At 36.3% G+C, this 27,757-nt stretch overlaps 1 long non-coding RNA gene across 7 annotated transcripts in view, besides 1 other annotated feature; it reads left to right on the top strand.

The window, feature by feature from the left end:
• LOC102723633 (uncharacterized) overlaps positions 1-22,588 on the top strand; it is a 35,846-nt gene extending 13,258 nt beyond the window's left edge. For 3 of the 7 annotated variants that reach the window (XR_943047.1, XR_943053.1, XR_943044.2), the window contains 3 exons: positions 1,865-1,973; positions 21,037-21,123; positions 22,539-22,588. This is a non-coding gene — a long non-coding RNA (uncharacterized LOC102723633). Of the gene's footprint in view, positions 1-1,864; positions 1,974-2,254; positions 2,363-21,036; positions 21,124-22,538 lie in introns of those variants that run through there. The other 4 variants (XR_007059787.1, XR_943051.3, XR_007059788.1 and 1 more) reach the window with 2 other exon arrangements.
• Positions 2,613-2,702: an enhancer, noted in NCBI's record as "active region_25140". NCBI's record gives its function as "activates an Ori minimal core promoter by ATAC-STARR-seq in GM12878 lymphoblastoid cells {active_cell/tissue: GM12878}" and the evidence as "EXISTENCE:reporter gene assay evidence [ECO:0000049][PMID:35858748]".
• Positions 22,589-27,757: the final 5,169 nt, after the last annotated feature.

Consider the following 27,757-nt stretch of genomic DNA (forward strand, 5'->3'; position numbering starts at 1 on the left):
ATAATAGTTGGAACCCATCCAGGTGGCAGAATGGCTTGTCATTTCAGATGGTAGAAAAAGATTCAAGCCCCTAAAAAGGGCAGTTGCACTATCTGATAGGACTCATTAATATTGGAGCTGGATATTATGTTTTATGTTCCTTTAAAAACTGACCTAGAGCTTACTTTTATGAGAGTTCTTCAGATTTACTTGGAACAACCAATACACTGATGGCAAAAAGTAAAAAAAAAAAAAAAATGCAGCCAATCAAACAATTATAATTTTAAAGAACTGACATTCATTGAATATGTTTTTTACTGAAATTAATGTGCATTTTGTCACTAAATAATTTCTGAAGATGAAATGTGGGACATTTTACCAAATTGATATTTGAAAGGTTAGAGAGCAAATTAGCGCTTTCTGTATGTTTTTTGTGATTTTAATAAACATTTAAAATTATTTGGTTCAAAAACAGTCTTAGAAACATATACTTGTTTTGATACTTTGGAAAATAATTTCAGCAAATAATTCAGAATTTAAAATATATGATAATTTATCACTTATTCAATTGAACCTATAATTTCTTACTAATCACATGTCAAGTGTTATGACTAAAAGTTGTCATAAATAACTTGCCACTTAAATCTGCATAAAGGAAGTAAAATTAACTATTAACTACATGAGAAGTTACTATGTGAGAAGAAGATCATGTGATGGATGCCTGAATTTCTCCTCTGTTATCTAGATGTTTTGCTGTTGTGCAAACATGGACCTGAAATCCAGAATGGAGAAAGGTTATTTTGTGACTAAAGTCAAAGATGTTAGAAGCAACAGATAGCCAGATAGCCAAAATCCAGATGCTGAATTTTGTAAGCAAACATCAGATTTGTACAGCCAGAATCATTCCAGCAAATGTAAATATGGGTGAAACAAAATAGTGGTGTAAAGATAGAAGGAATGGTTTGTCCTGAACTATCAAGTAATTTTGTCTAACTTTTTTTTCTATTAACAGAAAAAAAAAATAGAAATGTTGATTTAAGGCAAAAATGCAAACAGTCTTCCAATCTTACTCTGCCTGAGTCAAAATAGCCTTTTTACTTTTTCTTCTTTATATTAATCCCATTTTAATCTTGCTCCTGCTGCCCAGAGAACCTTTAACCATGGAATGCTGGTCTGGCTTTAGTAGACTTTCATTCCCCTAGTTCCACTTCCAGCTGAGCTCTGCTTCTCCCCTCCCAGTCCCTGGCCTGTCTCCAGGGCTCAGAGATCCCTTCTCATACAAGGACCATGTTTACCTGGTGAGGACAACCAAGCTAGTGATGAAGCTGTTATCCTCTGAAGTGTGGTACCTAATAATTTAGGCTCCAGCTGGATTTGGAAAGGCCTGAATGCTATCAATTAGTTGTGTGCAAGCAGCATTCCCTCAGTAATGAGCTCTTCGTCACTTCACTTTGAACGCTGGTGTCTTGACCAAGAGGTCTCCTATAGGCAAGTCACTGAAGAAAACAGAATGAAAAATCTGTCATTAATGAATTTGCCCCCCAGGTAGATCTAAGAAGACAGACTTTGGCTCCATCTAGGTCAAAGCTGAAGTCCAGTGAGTATGCAACCCTGGGCCATGACTTTGGATAATGGAAGCCCAAAAGTCTTCCCTCAATCATTAGCCTCCTTCAATTGTTTTTGAATTACATATTAATTAATCATTTCCTTCAAAGAGAAACTATCTGGGAAAAAAAGTTTGCTATTGACAGGGGTAAATCAAAGTGTAAAATTGATCTATAGAACTATATAAATGATATCAGTAATAATGTAATGAAAATGCTTCATTTTATTTCCTTTATGTTTTTCTAAAGTTGATAACTACTGCTTCAATATTGCATTTCAGATTTTCTATGCAGGTACAGTCACATTTATGTCTTTTAATAATAGAGTTCATCCATCATACAAGATTGATGATCCCTGCAGAAGTTAAAAGTCTAGGAATAAGAAATTTGGTAAGTTTTTATAATCAAAAAACAAAGTCTGGTAAGGGTCAAACCTCCAAAAGTAAAAGGCTATGCTAATCTCTTAGAGATGAATGAATTCCTTGTGGATGTTATCAGTAGTTAAGTTTTTGGCTTTGCAAAATCTCTTTCCTTTTCTTTAATATTTTCCTTTTATTACCCATAGTTTTCCCTTAGAACAATTAATTTAGTAAATTTAAACAGAGTAAAAAATCTAAAAACCTACAAGTTGTTTTCATAATGACTCCAAATAATATCTCCCATTTTTCCAGTGAATGTGTTTTGCCACTTCAATTGCCTCTACTGATCAAGAAAGCAAAGACCCCCTAAACTTCAGGGCAAAAAGTGAAGAATAAATTTGATTTGTGTTAGTGCCAATACAGTTTTGAGTATGTGTGTAGCTTTGATGTGATTAAAAACATGGTCATTCTTCTGGTTTAAAACAATGAAAATTAATAAATAGACTACTTACAACAATTTTTTAAAATCATGAGCATTTGGGTGTGTTAAAGTACTTATTCAACTTTGCTAAATGTATTCATCCCGAACTGAAAGTAGAATTACTCCTGCTTTTGCATTTAATGCATAATAACATAGGGTAAAATCTCCTGGGGTAGAGAGGCAGGCATAGTCTTCAAGTCTAAGCACAAACCCAGAAGTTCCACTTGACTAGGCTTACAGAGGAGCCCTCTCCTCTGTGAGAGGTCAGACCCTCTCCATTGACACTAATGGACCGTTTTATGCAAAACTGTTCATTTTCCGGAAGGGACCATGTTTGACTGGTGGAGTGATTCACAAAAATCACTTCATTAAAAGAATACTCTTCATGCATGGCCTTACTCCCTTTAGTGGGACAGAAACTGTGAGCCATGCATGGGTACCCAAGAAAGGGGAAGCTCATCTCCACAGTGTGAATCCAACCCCGAGTTCCAGTCCCTGTGTTCAGACAATGACATCCTGTCGCTGGCACACAGGCTAATGCAAACCTTGCAACTCCATTTATCCCTGGAATGCCTAATTCCATGCAACTGAGCATTACACACAACATTAGGGGATCCAAATCCACAGGAGAGCCCCCCAGAACCCCAAGTCCCCACACCAATGCTAGGTTTCTTTTCCCCTAGTTCTCCATGGAGCAGCAAATGGTGCTGTTCATGACAGGTATGGCCAATGGAGCTTCAAGTTTTCCTTCTCTGACCAGGCCCACGAGAGCTCTGTTCCCTGTGAACCTACGAAACCAACACAAGCTGCATGTGCTGTCTCCTCTTGAAAGAGCACTTGCTCCCAGGAATTCTCTCACAGTCTCCAATAGCAGAAGTCCAAAGACATGACAATATCAGAGAGGAAGGTGCTGTCATTTGCAAAAGGAGAAGGAATAGGGCCTACTGAGGTTTGGAAGGCAGAAAGGAAGCAAAAGGCTGAGATGTTGGTGAGACCATGGTGAAAATGCCAAAAGATTCTGGTACAATGTCTCTAAACCTTTTGAAGCTTCAGCAGCCTACATTGTTCTTCCGAAGTTGCCTTGCTTGGTCTGTCAATGCACCTAGCTGCAAATGCCACCACTTTGCATCCATCTGAAGGGTGATTCTGCTTCTCTCATCAGGACGTCTCTCTGTCTCTCTCTTATTACTTCTTGACTTCTGCATTGGATGTGGTAATAGCAGATTTCATTTAAGTTTGGAGTCTATACCCTTCAACCTTTCAAAATACTAAAAAGCGAGTTCGTTGCCTTTAAGATTGCAGTGACCAGCAGGCTGTGAAAGGTCGGTTTTGCTGTGATTTGCACAACCCAGGACTGCTCAGAGCTCAGCTGCACCAGGCTAATTTCCATAAGCATCATGTGGTGTTACAGAAACCACATTTTGCCAAGCTGTCAACTATACAGCCTTCTCTTTGCTAAACAGACTCCCATTAAAACTGTCTGCACAATTTGTCAGTTAAATGAGGTACAAGAGGGACGCTCTATTTGCCCCTAATTAGCTGCACAGACTACCTTTGTCTGTTTGATTAAGCATTCACATTATCAATTTTGTTTAATCTGATTCATTTCACACACCTCCCCTGGGACTCAGCCCATATGGTTAACTAATCTCTGATATCATCTCTCATATCAGGCAGCTATCATCCCCCCCAGAACACATTCTACCCACAGGCATCATGCTCATCAAGCTCAGCAGAGGGGAGTTGGTCTGGTGAGAGGCAGAAATGGAGCCCAGGAACTGAAGCTGAACCCTGACATGCTTGACTTAAAGCAGAGAGCAAATTCTTCCTTGGTGCCATCTGTCCGCCGTCATCCATCCACTCGTTTATTCATATTCACTCATTCACTCATTCCGGCAGTATACATATTGTCTGCCTACTATGCACCAGGGGCTGTGGTGGGAGGTGGGAGGGATACAAAGTGTACAAGATAAGGTTCCTGCTCTTGGATTGCTTATTATCTCAGCCCTGGAGAGTACTATGGAAACCGCCAACTAGTGTGCAAAGCACACTCCTTCCCTGAGGCCAGTTTACCTAATATCTGTCACACATGGCCTATTTGGCTGGGCTACCAAACAACTCGCTGAAGAAAGCTTTTAGATAAAGGCATTAAAGCAAGTGGTCATGGCTTCATGAAATAATCTCCCCTCCCACTCCCAACTTGGACAATGATTGGCAATGGGAAGGAGGAGTTTTAGGAATTGGAATTAACAAATTACTTGATCTTTCACAGTTATGAAATTTCAATGCATCTCATGCATGATTGAAGCTATTCCTTAATTAAATCAAACTAGTTGTATTCAACCTGATATCTTCAGTATATTGACAGAGAGACTATTAAACAGTAGTAGAGCACAAATAAAAATGTTGAGAGAAAAAGTAATTCATTTAATTTAGATGAAAGTATAAAACTAATCTGAAAATGGGTGTAGTTGAAAAATATACAGGCATTCTTGGCTCATGAAATACATGTGTTTGTAAAAATCAATATCAAAACCTTATGCTGAATAGATTGCAATCTCAGAAACATATTCTCCGTGGGTATTAGGGCAAATACAGACTTATGAGACCCGAATAAAAGCAACATGTGAAGAAAAAACCCAAGGGTTTTAGGACAACATGAATCCATAGAGCAATGAGGTTGTCAAAAGAGTCAACGTGTGTTTAGATTACATCCATAGAGTCAGGCAGAGTCCTGCTCCAATTTCCACAAGTCAGGACGTTGTTCTAGGGATCATGCTAGAAGGTTCTTGGGTCCTGGCAGGTGATAAACACTTGGAAATGAATATTGAAAATTCAGCATTGGAATTGGAGGGCCCTAGAAGTTATCCAGTGCCATCCTCTACTTTTTCTGGGAATCTCCTGGATGACATTCCTAGGTAAGGGAATTGTCAGATTCTGTATAGGTGCCTTCACGAATGGTTCCACTGTTCTGCTGAGTTGCCCCCTCCAGTCTGTCAGTGCTGGCAACTGAAAATGTAGTTATTACGCTGAGCTGAAATCTGCCCCTGTAAAACTCCATTCGCTGACTCCAGTGAGTGGATCCCTGCAGTAAGTCTGATCCCGTCTTAATAATTTTGAAGACACCTTTAGTGCTTAACCTCAGCTTTCCTTCACCAAGCACAGCACCCTCGATTCTTTCAGCATTTCTTCATTTTGGGGTTTCCAGTCCTCCCACCCTCCCTTCTCCCTTTCTTCCAAATATTCTTTCGTTGGTTACCCTTCCTCTCAGAGTGTGATCCCTGGAACAAATTCCTCACATGTGGAAATTAAAGCAGGACTCTACCTAACTCTATGGATGTAATCTAAGCACATGTGGACTCTTTCAACAGCAACCTCATTGCTCTGTGGATTCATGTTGTCCTAAAACCCTTGAGTACTTATTTTTTTAAGTGTTGCTTTTATTCAGTTCTCATCATTCTGGATTAGATCTAATACTCAACTTTATGTTAATCCCTATTATGTATTATCTTATTGACATCAGTTCATCATTTTAGTTTGTGGGTTGAAATCTGATTCTGCCATTTCAATTTTGTGTTGTCTCCCAGTTCGACAGGGATGGCATGACTGTCTTTATCCAAGTCATTGATCAAAATGTTAAAAGAGAGAAGAATAAAAATGGGTAACCAGAAGTCACTGAGTTTTCTAGAATGAAAAAAAAAAAAAACTAGTACCAACACGTGTTGGGCAATTATTGATACCAGAGACTACAGTGAATGAATGCTTTATATGTCTTCTCCAATTTAGTACTCACAAAACTCTTATTCAGTATCATTAACACCAGATTATAGATGAGACAACTGAGGATAGGTGCCTAAGAAAATAACTGCCCGAAAGAAGGTAGTTAATAATTATTTGGAGTTAGAATTTTGACCAAGGACTGACTAATGCCTGAGCCTGACTTATGAAGCACTTTGCTGTATTTGCTACCTCTTTACTGCATCATTAAGAGAAAGGAATCAGACCATAGGCAACAACAATGACAGAAATGGAAAGTAAGATTTCCTGAACCCTCGTTATCTCACCCATGTTTGTTAGCATGCCACACATCCCACTCGGGTGAAAAGGGTTGAATTAACCACATCTCTCTATGAAAGTCACACTATCACCCTTGTTGGGCTCCTTTCATGATTTATTTATTTATTCTTTTGATTGTCCTTTCCATTTTCCATTCTTCTCCTGTCACAGAAAACTTTTCTAATATGCGTGGTCTATAACCTTGAATTTGTATATATCCTTGGGAAATGTGTAGTGTTATTGATTTGGATGTATTTATTTGTATAAAATACAATGGGCTATGGACTTCTTTCTGTGTTTTATTCTTCTTCCAGAGTACTAAGGTAAAAATCTTAGTCCTGCTTATATCTAGCTCATTGCCCCTAATGGCTGCATGGTAGAATCTGATGCACATCCACCACATCTTATTTTGTCCATTCCTGCAGTGATGGAGAGCTGGATTGCCTCCACCTCTCTGCTATCACAAACAACGCTAAAGTGAACTTAGAGGTCATTATGGTAAGTGAAACAAAACAGACAGAAGGAAGTAGTGCATGATCTCGCTCATATATGGAATCTAAAAAAGTTGAATTCATAGAAGCAGAGAGTAGGATGGTGGTTGCAAGCAACTAAGGGTGGGGAAAATGGGAAGATGTTGGTGGAAGCGTACAAAGTTTTTATAGGCAGGATGATAATTTCTGCAGATCTAATATACAACCAAGTGACTATGACTTTAGTTAATAATACTGTATTGTATACTTGAAATTTGCAGAGTAGGTATAAGTGTTCTCACTGCACACACTCATATACACACAAAAAGGTGACTATATGAAGGCATGGATATGTTAATTAGCTTGAGTGTGGTGATCATCTCATAATGTATACAGACATTAAAACATCACACTGTGGCCCGGCGCCATGGCTCAGGCCTGTAATCCCAGCACTTTGGGAGGCCGAGGCAGCCCAATCACTTGAGATCAGGAGTTCTAGACCAGCCTGACCAATATAACATGGTGAAACCCTGTCTCTACTAGAAATACGAAAATTAGCCGGGCATGGTGGTGGGCTAGTGTAGTCCCAGCTAGTTGGGAGGCTGAGGCAGGCAAATCCCTTGAACCCGGAGGCAGAGTTTGCAGTGAGCCGAGATTGCTCGATTGCACTCCAGCCTGGATGGCAGAGCAAGACTCCATCTCAAAAAAAAAAAATTCACATTGTATACTTTAAATATATAAAATTTTGATTTGTCAATTATACTTCAGTAAAGCTGGAAAAAATAAAAAGAAGAAATATAATTACAATGTATGGAAATGTAATCTAATGGTTAAAATAAAATATGAAGATATATGTAATGATTAAAAATCTCATTCTAGAAATATAGATACCAAATATACTTTACTATAGGAAAAGTAAAGTAAAATAGAATATAGAACAGTCTTCAAATTTTGATAGCAAATTTGCTTTTAAAAATTAAAATAGTATGAAAGTAACCAGAGAACTCTAAAAGAAGATAACCCAAAATGTTAATAATATGTTTTTGTGAATTTTAAATATTTTCATGTCGTATAGTAGTAGTTCTTTAATGATATTTTTTAAATGTTAAAAAAAGAAATGGGAAGGCCCAAAACATTCTAGTACATGAGCCTTATCATCTCGAATGAGAATTTCTCTGGATTATAGACCGGGAGTAAAGGTTCTAGGGCATAGTCAGATGATTACTCAGTGGTCCCTAGCAAGATAGGATTTCTGTTTTTCTGCATACTCCATTTGGCACTTAAAAACTTTTAATGAATGTGATGTCGCTTCTCATTACTGTAGTAACATGTACTTATCTCATTATTAGTGAATTTGAGCATCTGTTCAAATACTTGTTAACCATTTTAGTTTCCTATTCTGTAAAATGCCTTTTCACTTCTTCACACATTTTTCTATTTGGTTTTTTCTACTCAAAGTATACAAAGTTCCACTTAGACAGAAAGAATAATTTTTGAGATCTATTGCACAGCAAGGTGAGTATAGTTAATAATAGCATGTTATATATTTGAAAACTGACAAGAGAATAAATTTTTTGTTATTATTTTTAATTGACACATAATTGTACATATTCATAAGGTAGAGTGTGACATTTCAATACATGCATATAATGTGTAATAATCATATCAAGGTACTTAGCATATCCATTATCTCAAACATTTATCATTTCTTTGTGTTGAGAACAGTTAAAATCCTCTCTTCTAGCTATTGGAACATGTACAAAAAATTATTGGTAACTATAGTCACTGCGCAGTACTATAGAATACTAGAGCTTATTCCTCCGATCTCGGTGTAATTTTGTATCCATTAACCAGCCTCTCTCTATACCCCACCCCCTTCTCCCCTTTCCAATTTCTAATAACCACTATTCTCTCTACTTTCATGCGATCACCTTTTTCAGCTCCCACATGTGAGTGAGAACATACGGCATTTAACTTTGTGCCTGTCTTATTTCACTTAACATAATGTCCTCGAGGCTTATCCACGTTGCTGTGAATGACAGGATTTCATTCTTTGTGTGGCTGAATAGTATTCCCTTGTGTATGTAAACCACATTTTCTTTATCCATTCATTTGTTGATGGGCACTTAGGTTGGTTCCATAACATGGTGATTATGAATAGTGTTGCAATAAATATGGGGGTGCAGATGTCTTTCCACATACTGATTTTCTTTCCTTTGGGTATATACCCAGTAGTAGGATTGCTGGATCACATGGTAGTTCTGTTTTTAGTCTTTTGAGGAAACTCCATACTGTTTTTCATAATGGCTAGACTAATTCACATTCCCACCAACAGTACATAAGAATTCCCCTTTTGCTGCATCCTTACCAACATTTGTTATTTTTGTCTTTTTGATAATAGCCATTCTAAGGCAAGGTGATATCTCACTGTGGTTTTGATTTTTATTTCCCTGATAGTGATGTTGAACTTTTTTTTATATACCTGTTGATCATTCATATGTCTTCTTTTGATAAATGTCTATTCAAATCTTTTGCCCATTTTTAAATATTTTTCGCTGTTGTTGAGTTCCTTATATATTCTAGATATTAATCCCTTATCAAATGAATAGTTTGTACATGTTTTCCCCCATTCCGCAGGTGGTCTTTTCACTTGGTTGATTGTTTCCTTTGCTATGCAGAAGGTTTTTAGCTTGATATAAACCCATTTATCTATTTTTGCTTTCGTTGCCTGTGTTTTTGAGGACTTATTCAAAAAATCTTTGCTCAGGCCAATGTTTTGAAGTGTTTCCCCTTTGCTTTCTTCTAGTAGTTTCACAATTTTGGATTTTACATTTAAGCCTTCAATCAATTTTAAGTTGATTTTTCTATATGTTGAGAGACAAGGGTCTAGTTTTATTCTTCTGCATATGAACATCCAGTTTCCCCAGCACCATTTACCGAAGAGACTGTTCTTTCACAATGCATGTTCTTAATGCCTTTGTCAAAAATCAGTTTGCTGTAAATACATGGATTTATTTCTGGGTTTTCTATTTTGTTTCATTGGTTTATATGTCTGTTTTTTATGCTAGTGCTATGCTGTTCTGGTTATTATGGCTTTGTGGTATATTTTGAAGTCTGGTAGTGTGATGCCTCCAGCTTTGTTCTTTTTTGCTCAGGATTGATTGGCTTTTTTTTGTTCTTTTGTGGTTTCATGCAAATTTTGGGATTTTTTTTTCTATTTCTGTGAGAATGTTATTGGAATTTTGATAGGAATTGCATGGAATGTGTAGATCACTTTGGGTAATTTGTATTTTAACAATACAAATTATTCCAGTCAATGAACATGGAATTTCTTTCCTTTGTTTGTTTTCTCCTATGAACAGCCTAAAATGGAAAAAGTCAGCTCTAGTGTTACATAACAGACTCTCTTGTTATCACAATCACCAACCAACCCAAGTTTCTACCCAGTCAAATTTCTTAGTTATTGGCTTATATAAAATACATACAGGACAAATTTTCACAATGAACTAAAAATACATGACATCATAAAAGGTAAAATTAAATTATTGGACTAGGTAAATATCTCTTATGATACAAAATAACTCAACATTAAATCACTTTTTAGAGACAAACATGGCAACTGATGCACCTATTAATTTGTGAGGAAAAAATAGTATTAAACTGTGATGACACTGAAAATGGAAACTTAAGTTCTCTCTTCCAAGTTCTAGCCTTGGTCTGCTTCTCCTTTTCGTCATTTTGATTTTACTGGTCATTTCTTCTAATGTGTGGCTACTACTATTGCTATATGAAAACAGTTCATATTTCCATCATTAATTTCTACACTAAACTCCAGTGCCGTATCGCCAGTTGTTGACTGGATACTGCCAGCTGATGTTCTACTATCTACAAATAATCCAATTTAAATTTTACTGAGCCCAACAGTTCTAAGCACTTTAACTTTGTGTATTAACTCGTTCCATCTTAAACAAAACTCTGAGGATGGCACTATTATTATCTTCATCTTATATATGAAAGTTAAATAAGTAGCCCAAACTCACACATTTAGTCAGAAAGGGAACCAACGCTTGAGCCTAGGCATTTTTGCCCAGAACTGGTTCACTTAATCTTTACTGCACTGCAATAATACCTCAGTTCTGTACTTAAAATCAATAGATACAAAACAAAATTCATCATCATCTCTCTCTTAGATCTCACTGTCCTACTTCTAGTGGAATGCAACTTAAATTTCAGTCACCTGGCCCCCAAACTCAAGTCATCTCCTATGCCTCCCACAGGCAATCCATCCCTGGGGTAGCTTATCCTGTCTTTGTGCCAAAATTTCACTGGGCACAGGCCATATGGATCAGGCCCAAGGAAAGCCTGCCTCCCAAATGCAGGGTGTGTGTCAGTGCACTTTCCCCAGGTGCCCTCTCAGAAGCTGGCATTCTACTCTGGCCATTTGCTCTCAGAAAGCAACTTTCACAGCCTTACCCCACCCTGCCCTGCCCTAGGCCCACCTTGCCTTCCAGCAGCTTCGAATCTCCACACATTCCTTTCCACAACCCCCCATACACCTCACCCTTGTCTTCCCTTTATTGTGTCCTGAACTAGGGGTCACAGGCTTTACAACCTCCTCTCATCTTTCCATTTTGTGTGTGTCCTCTCCTATTTCTTTCTTCAGTGTTTTATAGTTTTTATTGTATAGATCTTTTACTTCCTTGGTGAAATTTATTCCCAGCTATTTTTTGTAGCTATTGTAAATGGGATTGCCTTCTTGATTTCTTTCTCAGCTAGTTCATTATTGGTGTATAGAAAAAGTACACCAATAACACTGTACTATTTTTGTATGTTGATTGTGTATCCTATAAATTTACTGAATTTATTTATGGGATTTAAGAGTTTTTTAAGGGAATCTTTAGGTTTTTGTAGTTATAAGATCATATTATCAGCAAAGAGGGATAATTTGACTTTCTCTTTTCTACTTTAGATGCCTTTTATTTCTTATTCTTGCCTGGTTGCTTAGGCTAGGGCTTCCATTACTATGCTGAATAGGAGTGGTAAATGTGGGCATTCTTGTCTTGTTCCAGTTTTTAAAGGAAAGGCTTTCAGCTTTTCCCCATACAGTATGATGCTGCCTGTGGGTCTGTCACATAAAGGCCATATTTGGACTTTATTATTTTGATGTATGTTCCTTCTGTGTCTAGTTTGTTAAGAGTTTTTATCATGAAGAGACGTTGAATTTTATCAAAGCTTTTCATGTGTCTATTGAGATGATTACATGGTTTTTGTCCTTCATTCTGTTGATGTGATATAGCATATTTATTGTGGTTTTTTTTTTTTTTTTTTGAGATGGAGTCTCACTCTGTCTTGCCCAGGATGGAGTTCAGTGGCATGATCTTGGCTCACTGCAGCCTCTGCCTCCCGGGTTCAAGCGATTCTTCTGCCTCAGCCTCCTGAGGAGCTGGGACTACAGGCGTGAGCCTCCACATCCTGCTAATTTTGTACTTTTAGTAGAGATGGGGTTTCACCATGTTGGCCAGGCTGGTCTTGAACTCCTGACCTCAGGTGATCCACCCACCTCGGCCTCCCAAAATGTTGGGATTACAGGAGTGAGCCACTGCACCCGGCCTATTGATTTCAATATGTTAAACCATCCTTGCATCCCTGGAATAAATCCCACTTGAACATGACATCAATATTTTGATGTGCTGCTGGATTTATTTTGTTAGCATTTTGTTGAGAATTTTTGCATCTGTGTTCATCAGGGACATCAATCTCTAGTTTTGTTGTTTGTTGTGTCTTTATCTGGTTTTGGTATCAGGGTAATGCTGGCCTCATAGAATGAGTTATGGAACATTCCTCCTTCTTCAATTTTTTGGAATAGTTTGAGGAGAATTGGTGTTAGTGCTTGTTTGTAACCCTGGTAGAATTTGGCAGTGAAATAATCTGGACTCTTTTTCTTGGGATACTTTTTAGTAATAATTCAATCTCATTACTCATTATTTGTGTGTTCAAGTTTTCTATTTCTATTTCTTCTTGATTCAATCTTGGTAGGCTGTAGGTATTCAAGAATTTATCCACTTCCTCTAGGATTTCCAATGCATTAGTGTATAGTTCTTCTTAATAGTCTGATTATCTTTCATATGTCTGTGGTATCAGCTGTAATGTCTTTTTCATTTCTGATTTTATTTATTTTGGTCTATTTTCTTTTTTCTTGGTTAATCCAGCAAGTGATTTATTGATTTTGTTAATCTTTGCTAAAAATCAACTATTTCTTTTGTTGATTGTTTATAGTTTTTCAGTCTTTATGTCATTTAGTTCTGCTCTGATCTTTATTATTTTTTTATTTCTACTAATTTTGGATTTGGTTTGTTCTTGCCTTTCTAGTTCCCTGAGGTGCATTGTTAGATTGTTTATTTGAAATCTTTTCATATTTTTGATGTAGGCGTTTACTGCTATAAACTTCCCTCTTAGTGCTCTTTTGGCTGTATTGCTTAGGTTTTGGTATGTGGTGCTTCAGTTTTCTCATTTCAATAAATTTTTTTATTTCCTGCTTAATTTCTTCTTGGCCCAGTGTTCATTCATTCAGAAGCTTGTTGCTTAATTTTTATGCATTTGTACACTTTTCAGTGTTCCTCTTGTTATTGATTTCTAGTTTTATTCTATTGTGGTCTGAGAAGATACTTGATAGGATTTTCATTTTTAAAATATTTATTGAGATTTGTTTTGTGTTGTAACACGTGATCTATTCTGGAGAATGTTTCATGTGCTGATTAGAAGAATGCCTACTTTGTAGCTACTGGACAATGTGTTCCGTAAGTGTCTGTTAGGTCCATTTGGTGTAATGCGCAGTTTAAATTCAGTGTTTCTTCGTTGATTTTCTGCCTGGATGATCTGTATAATACTGAGAGTGGGTTGTTAAAGTCTCCAATTATTATTGTATTGGAGTCGATCTCTCTCTTTAGATCTAATAATATTTGCCTTATATATCTGGGTGCTCTGGTGTTGGGTGCATATATGTTCAACTCTTGTTGAATTGATCCCTTTATCATTATATAATAACTGTCTCTTTTTACTGTTTTTGACTTAAAGTCTGCTTTATCTGATATAAGTATAGATACTCCTGCTAACTTTCGGTTTCTATTTGCATGGAATATATTTTTCCATCTCTTTACTTTCAGTCTATATGTGTCTTTGCAGGTGAGATGAATATCTTGTAGGCAGCATATAGTTTAAAATCCACTCAACCAGTCTATATCTTTTAAGTGAAAAAGTTTAATCCAGTTATATTCAAGGTATTACTGATATGTGAGGGGCTATCCTTCTATTATTTGATTTTGGGTTTGTATTGTTCATTTCTTACTCTCTGATTGTTCATTATTGTGGCTTGGTGGCTTTTTGTAGTGGTAATATTTGAGTCTATTCCTTGTTTCTGTGTTTGCTCCACCAGTGGTTTTTATATTTTCATGCATTTTCATGATGATAGATACCATTAGGGCCAGTCTCGTAATGATAAATTGCTTCAGCTTTTGCTTGTTTGGGAAAGACTTTATTTCTTCTTCATTTTACTGTGTATGGTATCCTCGGCTGACAGTTTTTCCTTTTAACACTTTAAATATATCATCCCATTCTCTCTTGTCCTGGTGAGTTTTCTGCTGAGAAATTTACTGTTAGCCTGTTGGAGGTTTCTTTACAAGTGACTAGACTTTCTTTTTTTCTTGCTGTTTTTATAATTCTTTTTGTCTTTTATTTTTAACAGTTTTACTGTAATGTGCCATAGAAAAGATCTTTTTGAATTGTATCTATCTGGGGATCTCTGAGCCTCCTGTATGTGAATGTATAAATATCTTGCTAGACTTGGGGAAGTTTTCATCTATTATTTCATTAAATAGGTTTTCCAACTCTTTTGTTTTCTCTTTACCTTCTGAGACACAGAGAATTTGAAAATTGGGTCACTTTATGGTACCCCTTATGTCACATAGGCTTTGCTCATTGTTCTTTATTCTTTAAAATTTTTTTGTCTGAACGGTTTATTTCAAAAGACCCGTCTTCAAGTTCTGAGATTCTTTCTTCACTTGGTCTAATCTGTTGTTACAGCTATTGAATGTATTTTGTACTTCATTCAATGAATGCTTCAGGTCCAGAATTCCTATTTGTTTGTTTGTTTGTTAATGATATTTATCTCTTAGATAAATTTCTCATTCATACCCTGAATTGTTTTTCTGATTTCTTTGTACTTTTTTTTGGAATTCTCTTGTATCTCACCAAGCTTCTTTAATATGATTATTTTGAAATTTTTCTGGGATTTTATAAATTTCTTTTTGATAGAAATCTGTTACTGGAGAATTATTTTGTTTCTTTGGAGGTATCATATTTTCTTGCTTTTTCATGTTTCCTGTGTTCTGATGTTGATATCTGCATGACTGGTGTAACAGTTGTTTCTAATTTTTTGAATTTGCTTTCACAGGGGAGGACTTTTCCCTGAAGATGTGTCTATGGTGTGGCTGGGTAAGGCACTTTGGCTTTTATTCTGGTTGCCTGTAGTATTGTAGTCTCTGCACAATTTATTCAGCCATAAACTGCATTAGTGATGTCTATGATTTTCTTGGTGGTTTGGGGTGTGGTTGTTAGTGGAGGCCTGTGATAATATTTTGCTAGTGACTGGAATGCCAGGTGGCCCAGTCTTTGGGATTTAGTGGTGGCAGCAGCAGGCTGAGAATGTCTGTCCTTGGGCCCCAGGGTCCCATGTGCTGGCACCAGTGTTAGCTGGTCTAGATAGGTCAATTCTTGGGCCTCCAAGTGGCTGACTTGGGTACTGGGAATGGCAGTGGTGGGCTGGGAAAATGGGCAGGTTCTCAGGTCCCTGGTCAGAGCTCTGGCATGACTAATGGCAGTAGCATTGGTTGAACAACTCTCCAGGACCTAAGCAGTTTTCACTGGTGGTGGTGGTGGCTGTGTTAGTCTTAGGGCCAATGTGATCAAGAGGCTCTCCCGTGGCTAGAATCTCAGGAGTCTATGGTGGAAATGTGGACCACTGGGAGTCACCCACTTACCTTTCCCTTACATTAGGGAGCTTTTCCAAGCTCCCAGCTGCTCCAGGCTGTGGAGACTGCCTTACATCTCTCTCCTTCCCTGATTTTGGTGTTTCCTGTCACTTCCCTGTTGAATTACATGCTTTCTCTTAGTTGATCTATTTGAAATGTGATTATCTACTGACTATTTTGGTTCTTCTTTGTGAAAGAGGTGAGGACTAGATGCCTCTAGTCAGCCACCTTAAAGCCCCTCCTTCATTATATTTCTTTTTTTGTTGTTATTTTTCTTAATTTATATCCATTTCCATATATTAAATAATGATAGAATCCTCCAAAAGATCCAATCCATCGTATTTATGGTAATGGCTCTTAAATCCATCATCATCCTTTACCTCTCTACCTAGATGGCCTCTCTACCTTGATGGCTTTAAGGCCCCGGAAATTCAGTGTATCCTACACTCATTATTTTTATCCTATTACCCATCTTTCTGCATTCTGAGTATCTGACTTAATGACTCTGCCTTCTACCCAGTTGTCCAACCTATGATTAAAAATATCACAGATATCTTTGACCACTGCTGCTTCTTTATTCACTACTATCAGTAGCAACATCATGTCAATTCCACCTCAAAAATATGTCTCATTCTCCTCCCCTTATCTGATTATTTGTTACCCTGTACCAATGCTCATTACTCATTGTCCCAGCTCTCATATAAACTTCCAAACTGGTCTGTATCTATGATCCCCCTACTTAACACAATCCCTATACTACCGTCAAACTTCATTACAAAAAAAAAAAAAAAAAAAAGCAGATGTAGAAGTTTCACGTGGGGAAGATGAGTAAGTTCTGGAGATAGATGGTGGTGATGGTTGCAGAACAATGTGAATTTATTTAATGCCACTTAAAAGGGGTTGAAATGATAAGTTTTACATTATGTATACTTTAACCACAGTCAAATATAAATATATGGTCATGTCATTCCTAGGCTTATAATACTCTTTCATAATTACCATTGGTTTCTCACCGGCTACTACAGAAAAAAGTTCAAACGTCTTTGCAACCTGACCCTAACCATCCTCTCCAGGCCATCCTAGCCATTACATTCCATATCTTAAACACACTCTCTAGTCCTCAAAGATTCATCAGTTATACATACTTTTCCCAACAATTTATTCTGTCTGTAAAGTTTTTTCTTTATTGAGATAATTTATATACAGTAAAATTTACCTCCATTTAAGTAGGTATTTAATGTCTTTCAATATTTAATGTCTTTTATGGCCCAATGCGGTGGCTCATGTCTATAATCCCAGCACTTTGGGAGGCCAAGGCGAGTGGATCACCTGAGGTCAGGAGGTCGAGACCAGCCTGGCCAACACGGAGAAACGCCCCATCTCTACTAAAATTACAACAATTAGCTGGGTGAGGTGGCTTACGCCTGTAATCCCATATACTTGGGAGGCTGAGGCAAGAGAATCACTTGAACCCAGGAGGCTCAGGTTGCTGTGAGCCAAGATGGTACCACTGCACTCCAGCCTGGGTGACAGAGTGAGATTCTGTCTCAAAACAAAACAAACAAACATCGAATGTCTTTTACATTTAATGTCTTTTTACAAATCATCATCAAGATATAGAACATTCCTATAACCCTGAACATTTCTTCATACCACTTTTCAGTGTATCCCGTCTTTTCACCCCCACTCCCTGTCAGCCACTGATCTGTTTTCTATTTTTTATAGTTTTATCTGTTCTAGAAATTCACACAAATGATTAATAGAGCATGTAGTCTTTGTGTCCAACTCCTTTTATTTAATATACTGCTCTTCAGATTTCTTTTACTATTGAATAATACTTCTTTATTTGAATATATTGCAACTTATACAATCACCATATGATGGACACTTGGTGTTTCCAGTTTGGAGATATTAATGAATAAAGCTACTATGAACATGTGCATACTAAGCTTTGTGTGGACATGTGTTCCTGTTCAGATTGGGTAAATATCTAGGAGTAGAATTGCTGGGTCATGTGACAAGTATATATTTGACATGATAAGAAAGTGCCAAACTAGTTTCCACTGGTTGTACTATTGTACCTTTCCACAAGAAATGTTATCAGAATTCCAGTTGCTTCACATCCTCACCAACACTTATTACTTATTGTCAGAATTTTTTATTTCAGCCATTGTAGTGTAAGTGTGTAGTAGTGTCTCATGATGGTTTTAATTTAAATTTGCCTGAAGACTACTTATGTGGAACATTTTTTCATGTAGTCAACTATATATCTTTTTTGGTGAAGTGTCTATTCAAACTTTTGCCCATTTAAAAATTTCAGTTGTTTGTCTTCTTGTAATTGAGTAGTAATAATTCTTTATATATTATGAAGAGAAGTTCTTTATCATATATGTATTCTGCCAATATTTTCTCCTAGTATTTGGTTTGTCTTTTCATTTTCTTAATCGTGTTTTTAGAATAACAAATGTTCTAAATTTTGATGCAGTTCGATTTATCCATTTTTCTAAATGATCTGTCCGTTTTGTGTTCTACTGAAGAAGTAAAGTAAATGAAGACATAGTGAGATCATAGATTGGAAGAGTAAACATTATTAAGATGCCATTTCTGCCCAATTGATCTACAGATTCAGTGCAGTCCAATTTGAAATGTCAGCTGATTTTTCAAAAATAAAAATTGGTAATTAATTCAAGGGCACAAAGATTTCCTCCTGTGTTTTCTTCAAGCAGTTCCATAGTTTTAGCTCTTACATTCAGGTATATAATACATTAGAGTTAGTTTTTGTGTATGATGTGAGGTGACCATTAAAATTTATTTTTTTCATGTGGGAAAAGTCCATCCTTTTACGATCAAATTGCCTTGGCACTTCAAACTGTTCTTATTACTCTAGCTTTAGAATAATTCTTGAAATCAGATAGTATTAGCCTTGCACTTCATTCTCGTTCAAATTTGTTTTGGTTATTCTAAGTCCTTTGCATTTCCGTATACATCTTAGAATGAGCTTGTCAATTTTTACAAAGGAAATTCTGTACAGATATTGATTAGGATGACGTTGAACCTGTAAATCGATTTGGATAGAATTGACATCATAACAATGAGTCTTCTAATTCATAAACTTTATGTAGCTCTCCATTTATTTTATTTGCTTTCAGTGATATTTTAAAATTATATAGTTTTAGGTGCAGCTTGTGAACATATTTTGTTTAGTTTATTTACATATATTTCATATTTTTGGATGTAAAATATTATTTTCTTAATTTTAATTTCTTTTTTCATTGGTAATACAAAAATTTTCAGACGTTCCATTCACTTAGAAAAAATGTCATTAACCTGTGTGATTCAAAGCCCCCAAACACCCATTTGTTCCCTAATATCTTTCTCACTACTATATTATCTTTGGAAAGTCCCTCTATTACTGAGGGCTAATAAATGGTCTAAAGAAAGTCTTTGCTAATTTATATTTTAGTTGGGAGAAGCAACACATTAAGTGATTTTTTTTCAGGGCCTAGTTAGTCTATAGATAACAGAAATAGTTCTTTGATCAGATGATTGAAGGATAAGTATAGTATAGGGGAACTTATGAGGGAGGAACAGACCCAAGTGGGACTCCACGGTGAAGAATCTTGAGAAATCAGCACAGTAAATCAGTTTTGGGTGCTTGATGGAGGAACAAATGAACAAAGTGAGGCAACTGAGGGGATAGAGGAGGAAAGGATAACTCTAACTTTTCTTCATGGACACATCTACAAAATAAATGTAAAATTGTCTTATTGATTCTTATTCTTGGAATAGACTCAACTCATTAAATTGTAGATTATTTCTTCGATCCCTGAATATCTGGAGACCAGAAATAACGAAGAGACAAACGAAGATGATGTATGTACATGATCACATTCAGTTATTCACCTTCATGTGGAAAAACAGAAACGTTTATAATATTAAATTAAAACTGTGGATAGTTTTATTGTTCTTGGGATTAATATTTAATACCAAATAATGAAGTACCATGGTGAGATCTTAAATAACAATGCATTGAAAAGTTTTCAGCAATGTATTTTGCCCTCTTTTTCCTGGATACTTCCTGCAGGCAAAAGACTACAGAGCTATCTTCCTGTAAAACTTATTTCCCTCTGGCTTACCTTCTCATGAACACTCACATTTTTTTTTTTAAGTAAGTAAACATATCCCCTACTCAAGGACTGTAGGTTATAATCACGGCACATTTCTGTGTCAACAGAATGTTACAGAAAGATTTAACATGGGTAAATCAAATTAGGCCGATAACTTGAGAATAATCAAGAGTTGACTATAACCTTCTAGTCTGCTGTATGTGCTTAATTGCGAGGCAAATAAAAAATAGTTATGACAAAGACAGCAGTCCAGATGTTGGGATACATGTTCAGTATTTAGATGGAAAACAAGACTGATGTGACTGTAATATCTGTCACTTCACTGGTCAATAGTAGTCATCTGGAATTCTCTGCCTAGATAAATCAACATCTTAAAGCTTTATGCTTAATTTACAAATTTAATCTTCCCAAATAAAGTATAGAGGCATTTTTAGGTCTAGAATATATAATGCTCATTTTTCTCACCCAGAAAAACTCTCTTTTAGTATTTCTTGAAGTACAGGTCTACTGATGACCAATTTTATCATTTTTTTTCTAAAAAAAACGTTGATTTTGTGCATGTGTGTATTATGTTTTTTGGTTTAAAAATTATGAGCATTTATTATCTCATATTTTCTGTGAGTCAGAAATTTGAAAGTTCAGTGATATGGCTCAGGGTCTCTTATAAGTTGCAACCAAGCTTTCAGCCAAGGCAATCGTCATCCAAAGGTTTCGCTGGGGCTGGAGGATCTTCATGACTGCTGCAAAAAGGCCTCAGTCCTTACTGGCTGTTGGCCAGAGGCTTCCATTCTTTTCCACATGGGCCTCTTCATAAGAAAATTGGAGCATATTCATGACATGGCACATAGCTTTCCCCTAACCAGGTGATCCAAAAAGATCTTTCTTTCTTGGAAGAAAAAATCCTTTTCTAAGATTGCAGGTTTTTCTCTTTCAGCACTTTAAAGAAGTCTTTCCTTTGTCTTACGGCTTCCAGAATTCCTGATGAGGAGTCTGCTATCAATCTTATCTTGTGGCTTTGAAGGTAATAAGTCATTTTTATTCTGTATCTATTTGAAGAGTTTTTCTTTGGCTATAATATGCCTGATATGGTTCTCTTTGAATCCTTCTTACTTGGCAGTTGTTAAAAAATTTTTTTTACATCTGTCCATTCAATTATGTCACCATTCTCAAGTCATTTTTCAACTATTGCTTTGATTCTATTTTCTGTCTTCTTTTCTATTGGGACTCTAATTACATGTTAGACATTTTTAGCACCTCTCATGTTTCTTACACTCTATTTGTTCTGTTTTGTCAATTTCTTTATTTTCTCCTTTCAATACTTTCGTTAAATAATTTCTGTTGATTATCTTCTTGTTCTTTCTGTCCTCAGTTTTCTCCAGTCTACTGTTAAAACTCAAATAATAAGGTCTTAATTAAATATACTGCATTTTAAGTTTTGGGATACTTATTTGGTTTTTGTTTGTTTGTTTGTTTTTTGGAGACAGAGTTTCGCTCTTGTTGCCCATGCTGGAGTGCAATGGCCCGGTCTCAGCTCACTGCAACCTCTGCCTCCCGGGTTCAAGCGATTTTCCTGCCTCAGCCTCCCAAGTAGCTGGGATTACAGGTGCCTGCTACCATGCCTGGCTAATTTTTGTATTTTTAGTAGAGACGAGGTTTCACCATTTTGGTCAGGCTGGTCTCAAACTCCTGACCTCAGGCAATCCGCCCGCTTCAGCCTCCCAAAGTGCTGGGGTTACAGGGGTAAGCCACCACGCCCAGCCTGGTTTTTAATATATTCTAATTTTCTCTTGAAATCCTCCAACACTTATTCATTTTGTCCATATTTTACTCTATTTTCTTTAACATATTAATCACAAATATTTTCCAGTCCTTCTCTGTTAACTCCAATATCTTGGTCATTTCTGTGTCTACTTCTATTTTATGTCTTCATTATTAGTAAATTTTCCTGTTTCTTTGAATTTTTCTATTTTTAGGATTGTACACTAGGGAATTTGAATGATACATTGTAGAGACTCTAGATTATTTCACCTTCCTATAAGGAGTATTATAATTTTTAAAATTTGACAGGCAATTAAATTATTGTTTTATTATCTTCATCTGTCAGATATTGTTGTCAGCCTTTACTAGGAAGGTTCTATATTAGTTTTGCTCTCTCTTCTAGAAGCATTACTCTTGTACAAGGTGTTTACCTAGGTCTCTCTCTTCTGAGCCCAAACTTCAAAATCTCCTGCAACTTTGAGGCCCCTAAAATCTCTGCCAAGCACTCCAACCTCATGTAGCTATACCCTGCTAGTTCTGCCAGAATCTAGCTCTGGGCATGTGTAGCTGAATGCATATTTGAGACTCCTTATGTGCAGCTCCTTCCTATAAGGGACTCTGCCTTAAATCCTAGAAACCTTGGCAACCCTGAATTCTGCTCTTGTTTCTTTCCCACAGTGATAATGTCATTCTCACCTGTAATCCCAGCACTTTGGGAGGCTGAGGCCCAGGAATTCAAGACCAACATGGCAAAACCCTGTCTCTACAAAGATACAAAAATTAGCTGGATGTGGTGGTGTGCACCTGTAGTCCCAGATACTTGGGAGGCTGAGGTGGGAGGATCGTTTGAGCCCAGGAGGTTGAGACTGCAGGGAGCTGTGTTTGTACCACTGCACTCCAGCCTGGGTGAAAGAGTGAGACCTTGTCTCCAAAAAAAAGAAAAAAAATGAAATAAATAAAAATATTTCTGTGTCATTTAGTTTTCTAAATATATAGATTAACTTTATATTCAGAACTTTAAAAACACTTTATATGATCATTTTTTAAAAATTATACTTCTACTTAAACTGTTTAAAGCTGACAGAGAGTAAAATACAAACATGTACCTACAAGTTAATGTTAGTGTCTACTACACAAGCTTCTAAATAGTGACAAAAAAAAAACTATCAGGATAATTACTTGATGTTATAAACTCAAACTACTATTTCATTCATTAATATTTAATTTTGAGCAGTTTTTTAACCTTTTTGAATATTAAAGAATCATCCAATTATTCAAAAAACTTTTGTTGAAAATCTAAATAACTTAAATAAAAGTAGACTTTTTATTTCTTGGTGGAAATGACTAAAAAAAAAGACAAGTTTAGTTAAAGGATTTAAGCTAGTAGTTACTTTAAAGATATGCTTTGAGATAAAGGCACCAAATGAAATGTTATTTCCATATTTACTTTACTCTCAGTGTTTGCCTAATGTCTACTTGTATAATTTTTTTTTTGAGATGGAGTCTTGCTCTGTTGCCCAGGCTGGAGTGCAGTGGCGCGATCTCAGCTCACTCTAACTTCTGCCTCCCAGGCTCAAACGATTCTCCTGCCTCAGCCTCCAGAGTCACTGGGATTACAGGCATATGCCACCGCCTGGCTAATTTTTGTATTTTTAGTAGTGACTGGGATTCAACATGCTGGCCAGGCTGGTCTTGAACTCCTGACCTCAAGTGATCCGTCCACCTCAGCCTCCCAAAGTGCTAGGATTACAGGCGTGAGCCACTGCACCTGGCCTATGTTTTAATTTTTAATTTAAGTATTTTAAGATTTCTTATTTTCCAATAAATAAACTGCCTAATTTACATTTAAGAATATTGCTAACTCAGAACTCCCACCTCATGAGTCACTTGATTGCTCTTCCTGGTATTAAACTTCTATGAATAAACATAACTTGGAACGCTGGTAAGCAGCCAAGAACATCTGGCTCCCAGTCTTAATAAAATAAACCTTAAGTTTTACAGTTTTTTTAGTGAATGCCAAAAAAATTTACTTCACAAGGGTCTTCTTTCCACCTCGCTTATAAAAATGAAAAAATCATAAGTAAAAAAATGAAATTTTTTTAAAACTAAACACAAAATTATTCTATATATTACAAAAAAAATGAGAAGTTAGATTAATGTAAATGAATCATTCCAAACTTTATAACAATGGCTTAATCAGTACCTCATTTACTTGATTAAGTTTTTCAATAGCTCTACGTTCTCTGCGTTGGGAATCATTCTGACTCATTAGTTTCTGTCATTCCATGCTATTAAGTATCAATACGTATGCTCATTGGCATTGCCGTCGGTTTTATAGCAATCTAATTAGTATCCCTATATGTAGTCATGTTAATTATAAAGGGTATCAAGTCTCAAAGACAAAAATACTATTCCCCTTTATAGCGTTTGGCTTAAGAATGACAAATAATTCTGAATAACCACAAGATTACAAATTCATCTTGCAAAGAGAAGCAAGCACTGGGAGGCAGCTAGCTTCTCTGACCTTTTGTAAGGGCAGTAATCTTATGAAAAGGACAGAGATTGATTCATTCGTTCACTTGATGAATAAATATATAATGAAAATTTACTCAAGAGGTAATATTTTCAAATGGCTAAGAACATGCACCATTGAATAAGACAACCTGGGTTTACATTCTGCCTCTACCACTTAATAGCGTTGTGTCTCAATGTCCTCATCTGTAAAATGAAGATGTCTTGGAAATTAATAATGGGGAAATAATAGTACCGTTATCCATGAGTTCATAATGTGAAGTGCTTAGTCTGCCATAGCCTGTCAGTGTCAGCCTGTCGCATTGTAAGCGCTTAATAAATATTAGCAATTACGACATGTGTTAAGTAACGTAGACTGACATAGAACTTAGTATTCAGTATTCAGTAAAAGAGTAATTCAAACTTTCAAAGCTATTTTTAATCTTCTCTCTACATTGTAAGCTTTATCAATATTTCACTGTAATTATTAATCATTCTCATGTTGTATTTCCCACATGAATTCATCTGTCTTTACCAATATGCTAGTAGTTACGATGATAATGTCATTTTCGCCTGTAATCCCAGCACTTTGGGAGGCTGAGGCCCAGGAGTTCAAAACCAACATGGCAAAACCCAATATGCATGGATTTGTTTTACGTGAGAATTTTTTCATCACTTTTTTCTACTAGATTGTGTATTTCTTTAATTTCTTTATTCTTGAGTTAATAAGGTAAGTGCCTCAATCCACTCTACGATTTAAATGAGCAGATAAAAATTTACTTGCCAGAGAATAAGCTTAAGCTATTGAAGGTTTTGGCTTCCTGATAGAGTGGAATTTCTTTTCTTTTTTTTTAACTTTTATATTAAGTTCAGGGGTACAAGTGCAGGTTTGTTACATAGATAAACTTGTATCATGGGGGTTTGTTGTACAGATTCTTTAAATACTCAGCTATGAAGCCTAGTACCCATTAGTTACTTTCCTTGATCCTCTCCCTCCTCCCACCAGCCACCCTCCAAAAGGACCCAGTGTGTGCTGCTCCCCTCTATGTATCCATGTATTCTCATCATTTAGCTCCCACTTACAAGTGAGAACATGTATTTGATTTTCTGTTCCTGTGTTAGTTTGCTAAGGATAATGGCCTCCAGCTCCATCCATGTCCCTGCAAAGGACATGATTTTATTTTGTTCTTTTTTATGGCTGCATAATATTCCATGCTGTATATGGAGCACATTTTCTTTAAAGAGTGGAACTTCTTTATCACAATACAGGTGTGAGGAGGAAGAAGGGATATCACCGGCCTCAAGGGTAACCATGTCACAACAGGTTTGTATTGCTGTATTGTATTGCTTCTGTGTGTAATTTATTAAATTTCAGGCTATGACAAAATATACAAATGGTATGCTGGAATATTAATTGGAAGACTACATTGACAGTTCTTTTAGCAGGAGAGTAATCCAGCCATGATCCAATAAAGTATTCAAAAACATCATCCAAGAACATTATTGTTGCCATCTTTGGCTTTGTTCTCTCTCATTTCCTTTTTTCTTTTGCTATGATTTTGAAACATCTAGATAACTTTTTAGTATATTTGGCATCAAGGAGATTCCATTTTGATAAATGCTTCTTAATTTGAAAATAAACTTAAAATCTATGTCACTCAATTGGACACCCAGTGGTATACTTTGAACTATAGAGTAAACCAAAGACAATAATTCAGGAACATTCTAAAGAGCCAACTAATACCAGACTGATACTATAATAGTTTATTCCACTCATCCTTCATGTTATATTCTAAAATGTAGTCATATTTGTCAAGGGTCTTGCTAGCTAGTAAGTTACACTGTAGAGCAGGTCTGTGTGAACCTTCCCAATTTTCTTATTAAAATATTGGTAGAGACATCATGAATAACAATTGCCATCATGCTGAGGTATTCATTACTATTTTCATGGAGGTACGCCATGATTCTGTCTCAAACATTCAGCCAACTAATAAACATGGTGTTAGATTTGGCTGACTAAAGAGTTTTACTTTTTGAAGAATAGTTTAAGGTCAGTAATGTATTTGTCAGGGTTCTCCAGAAAGACAGAACCAGAAGGATTATCTATCTATCATCTATCATCTATCTATCTATCTATCTATCTATCTATCTATCTATCTATCTACCTATCTATCTATCTAAATGTGTGTGTGTGTGTGTGTGTGTGTGTGTGTGTGTGTGTGTGTGTGGAGAGAGAAGGAAAGGGATTTATTATAAGGTATTTGTTCACACAATTACGAAGGCTGAGAAGTCTACCATATGTAAGATGAAGACCCAAGAAAGCCAGTGGTGTAGTTCCAGTCCAAGTCCAAAGGCCTGAGAACAAGGAACATAGATGATAAAAGTCCCAGTTCAATGGCAGAAGAAGCTCAATGTCCCAGCTTACACTATCAAGCAGAGAGCAAATTGTTCCTTCCTCTGCCTTTTTGTTGTGTTCCAGCCCTTAAGGGATTGGATAGCACCTACCCACACTGAGGAGGGCAAACTGCTTTACTCTGTCTACCAATTCAAATGTTACTCTCATCTAGAGACACCCAGAAATAATGTTTAGCCAAATAGCTGGGCGCTGCATGGCTTAGTCAAGTTGACACATAAAATTAACCATGACAGCTAGATAACAATAGTACCTTGACATTAGCAAATATCTAAGCTTTCCAACGGAAAGCTGTTTAGAAGGACATCAGACACTGAGTACATCTTATTTTTCATAATAACCTGATGGAAAAGATAGACTAAACTGATCATTTAATTAGATTAATTCTCACAGAGATGTTGGAAAGTGATTGAAGAATTATATAAAAGGGAATAGTCTCTCCAAATATACACCTTAAGAAAATTGTTCTTGAAGGTGGGAGATGGATCATTGAAAGGCCAGTTCTAGAGAGAAAGAAAGCAATTAGGTGATTCTTAAAGACTGCCCAGACAAGAAATGCTTGGATCATCACCCAAAAGCAGAGTTGGCATACTTTTCTGTAAAGAGGCAGATAGAGTAAATGTTCTAGATTTTGCAGGCCTTAGAGTCTCTGCTGCCAATTCTACCATTGTAGTGTGAACATAGCCACAGAAACATATAAATGAATGAGCATGGATATGTTTCAATAAAACTGTATTTACAGACCCTGAAATTTGAATTTCATATAATTGTATGTGTCACAAAATATTATTCAAAAAATTTTTTTCAACCACTTAAAATGTAAAATTTAAGCTTTCAGGCCATACAAAAATGAGCAGTAGGCCAGATTTGGCTTATGGCTATAGTTCCCCCTGATCTGAAATAGTGGCAGTGATACTAAAGAAGAGAGAAAGGAATTTCAGTGATGTTTAGTAGATAGAATGTATAGGATTTC

This window comes from Homo sapiens, chromosome 6 (assembly GCF_000001405.40).
Source record: "Homo sapiens chromosome 6, GRCh38.p14 Primary Assembly".
Classification (NCBI taxonomy): Eukaryota; Metazoa; Chordata; class Mammalia; order Primates; family Hominidae; genus Homo; species Homo sapiens.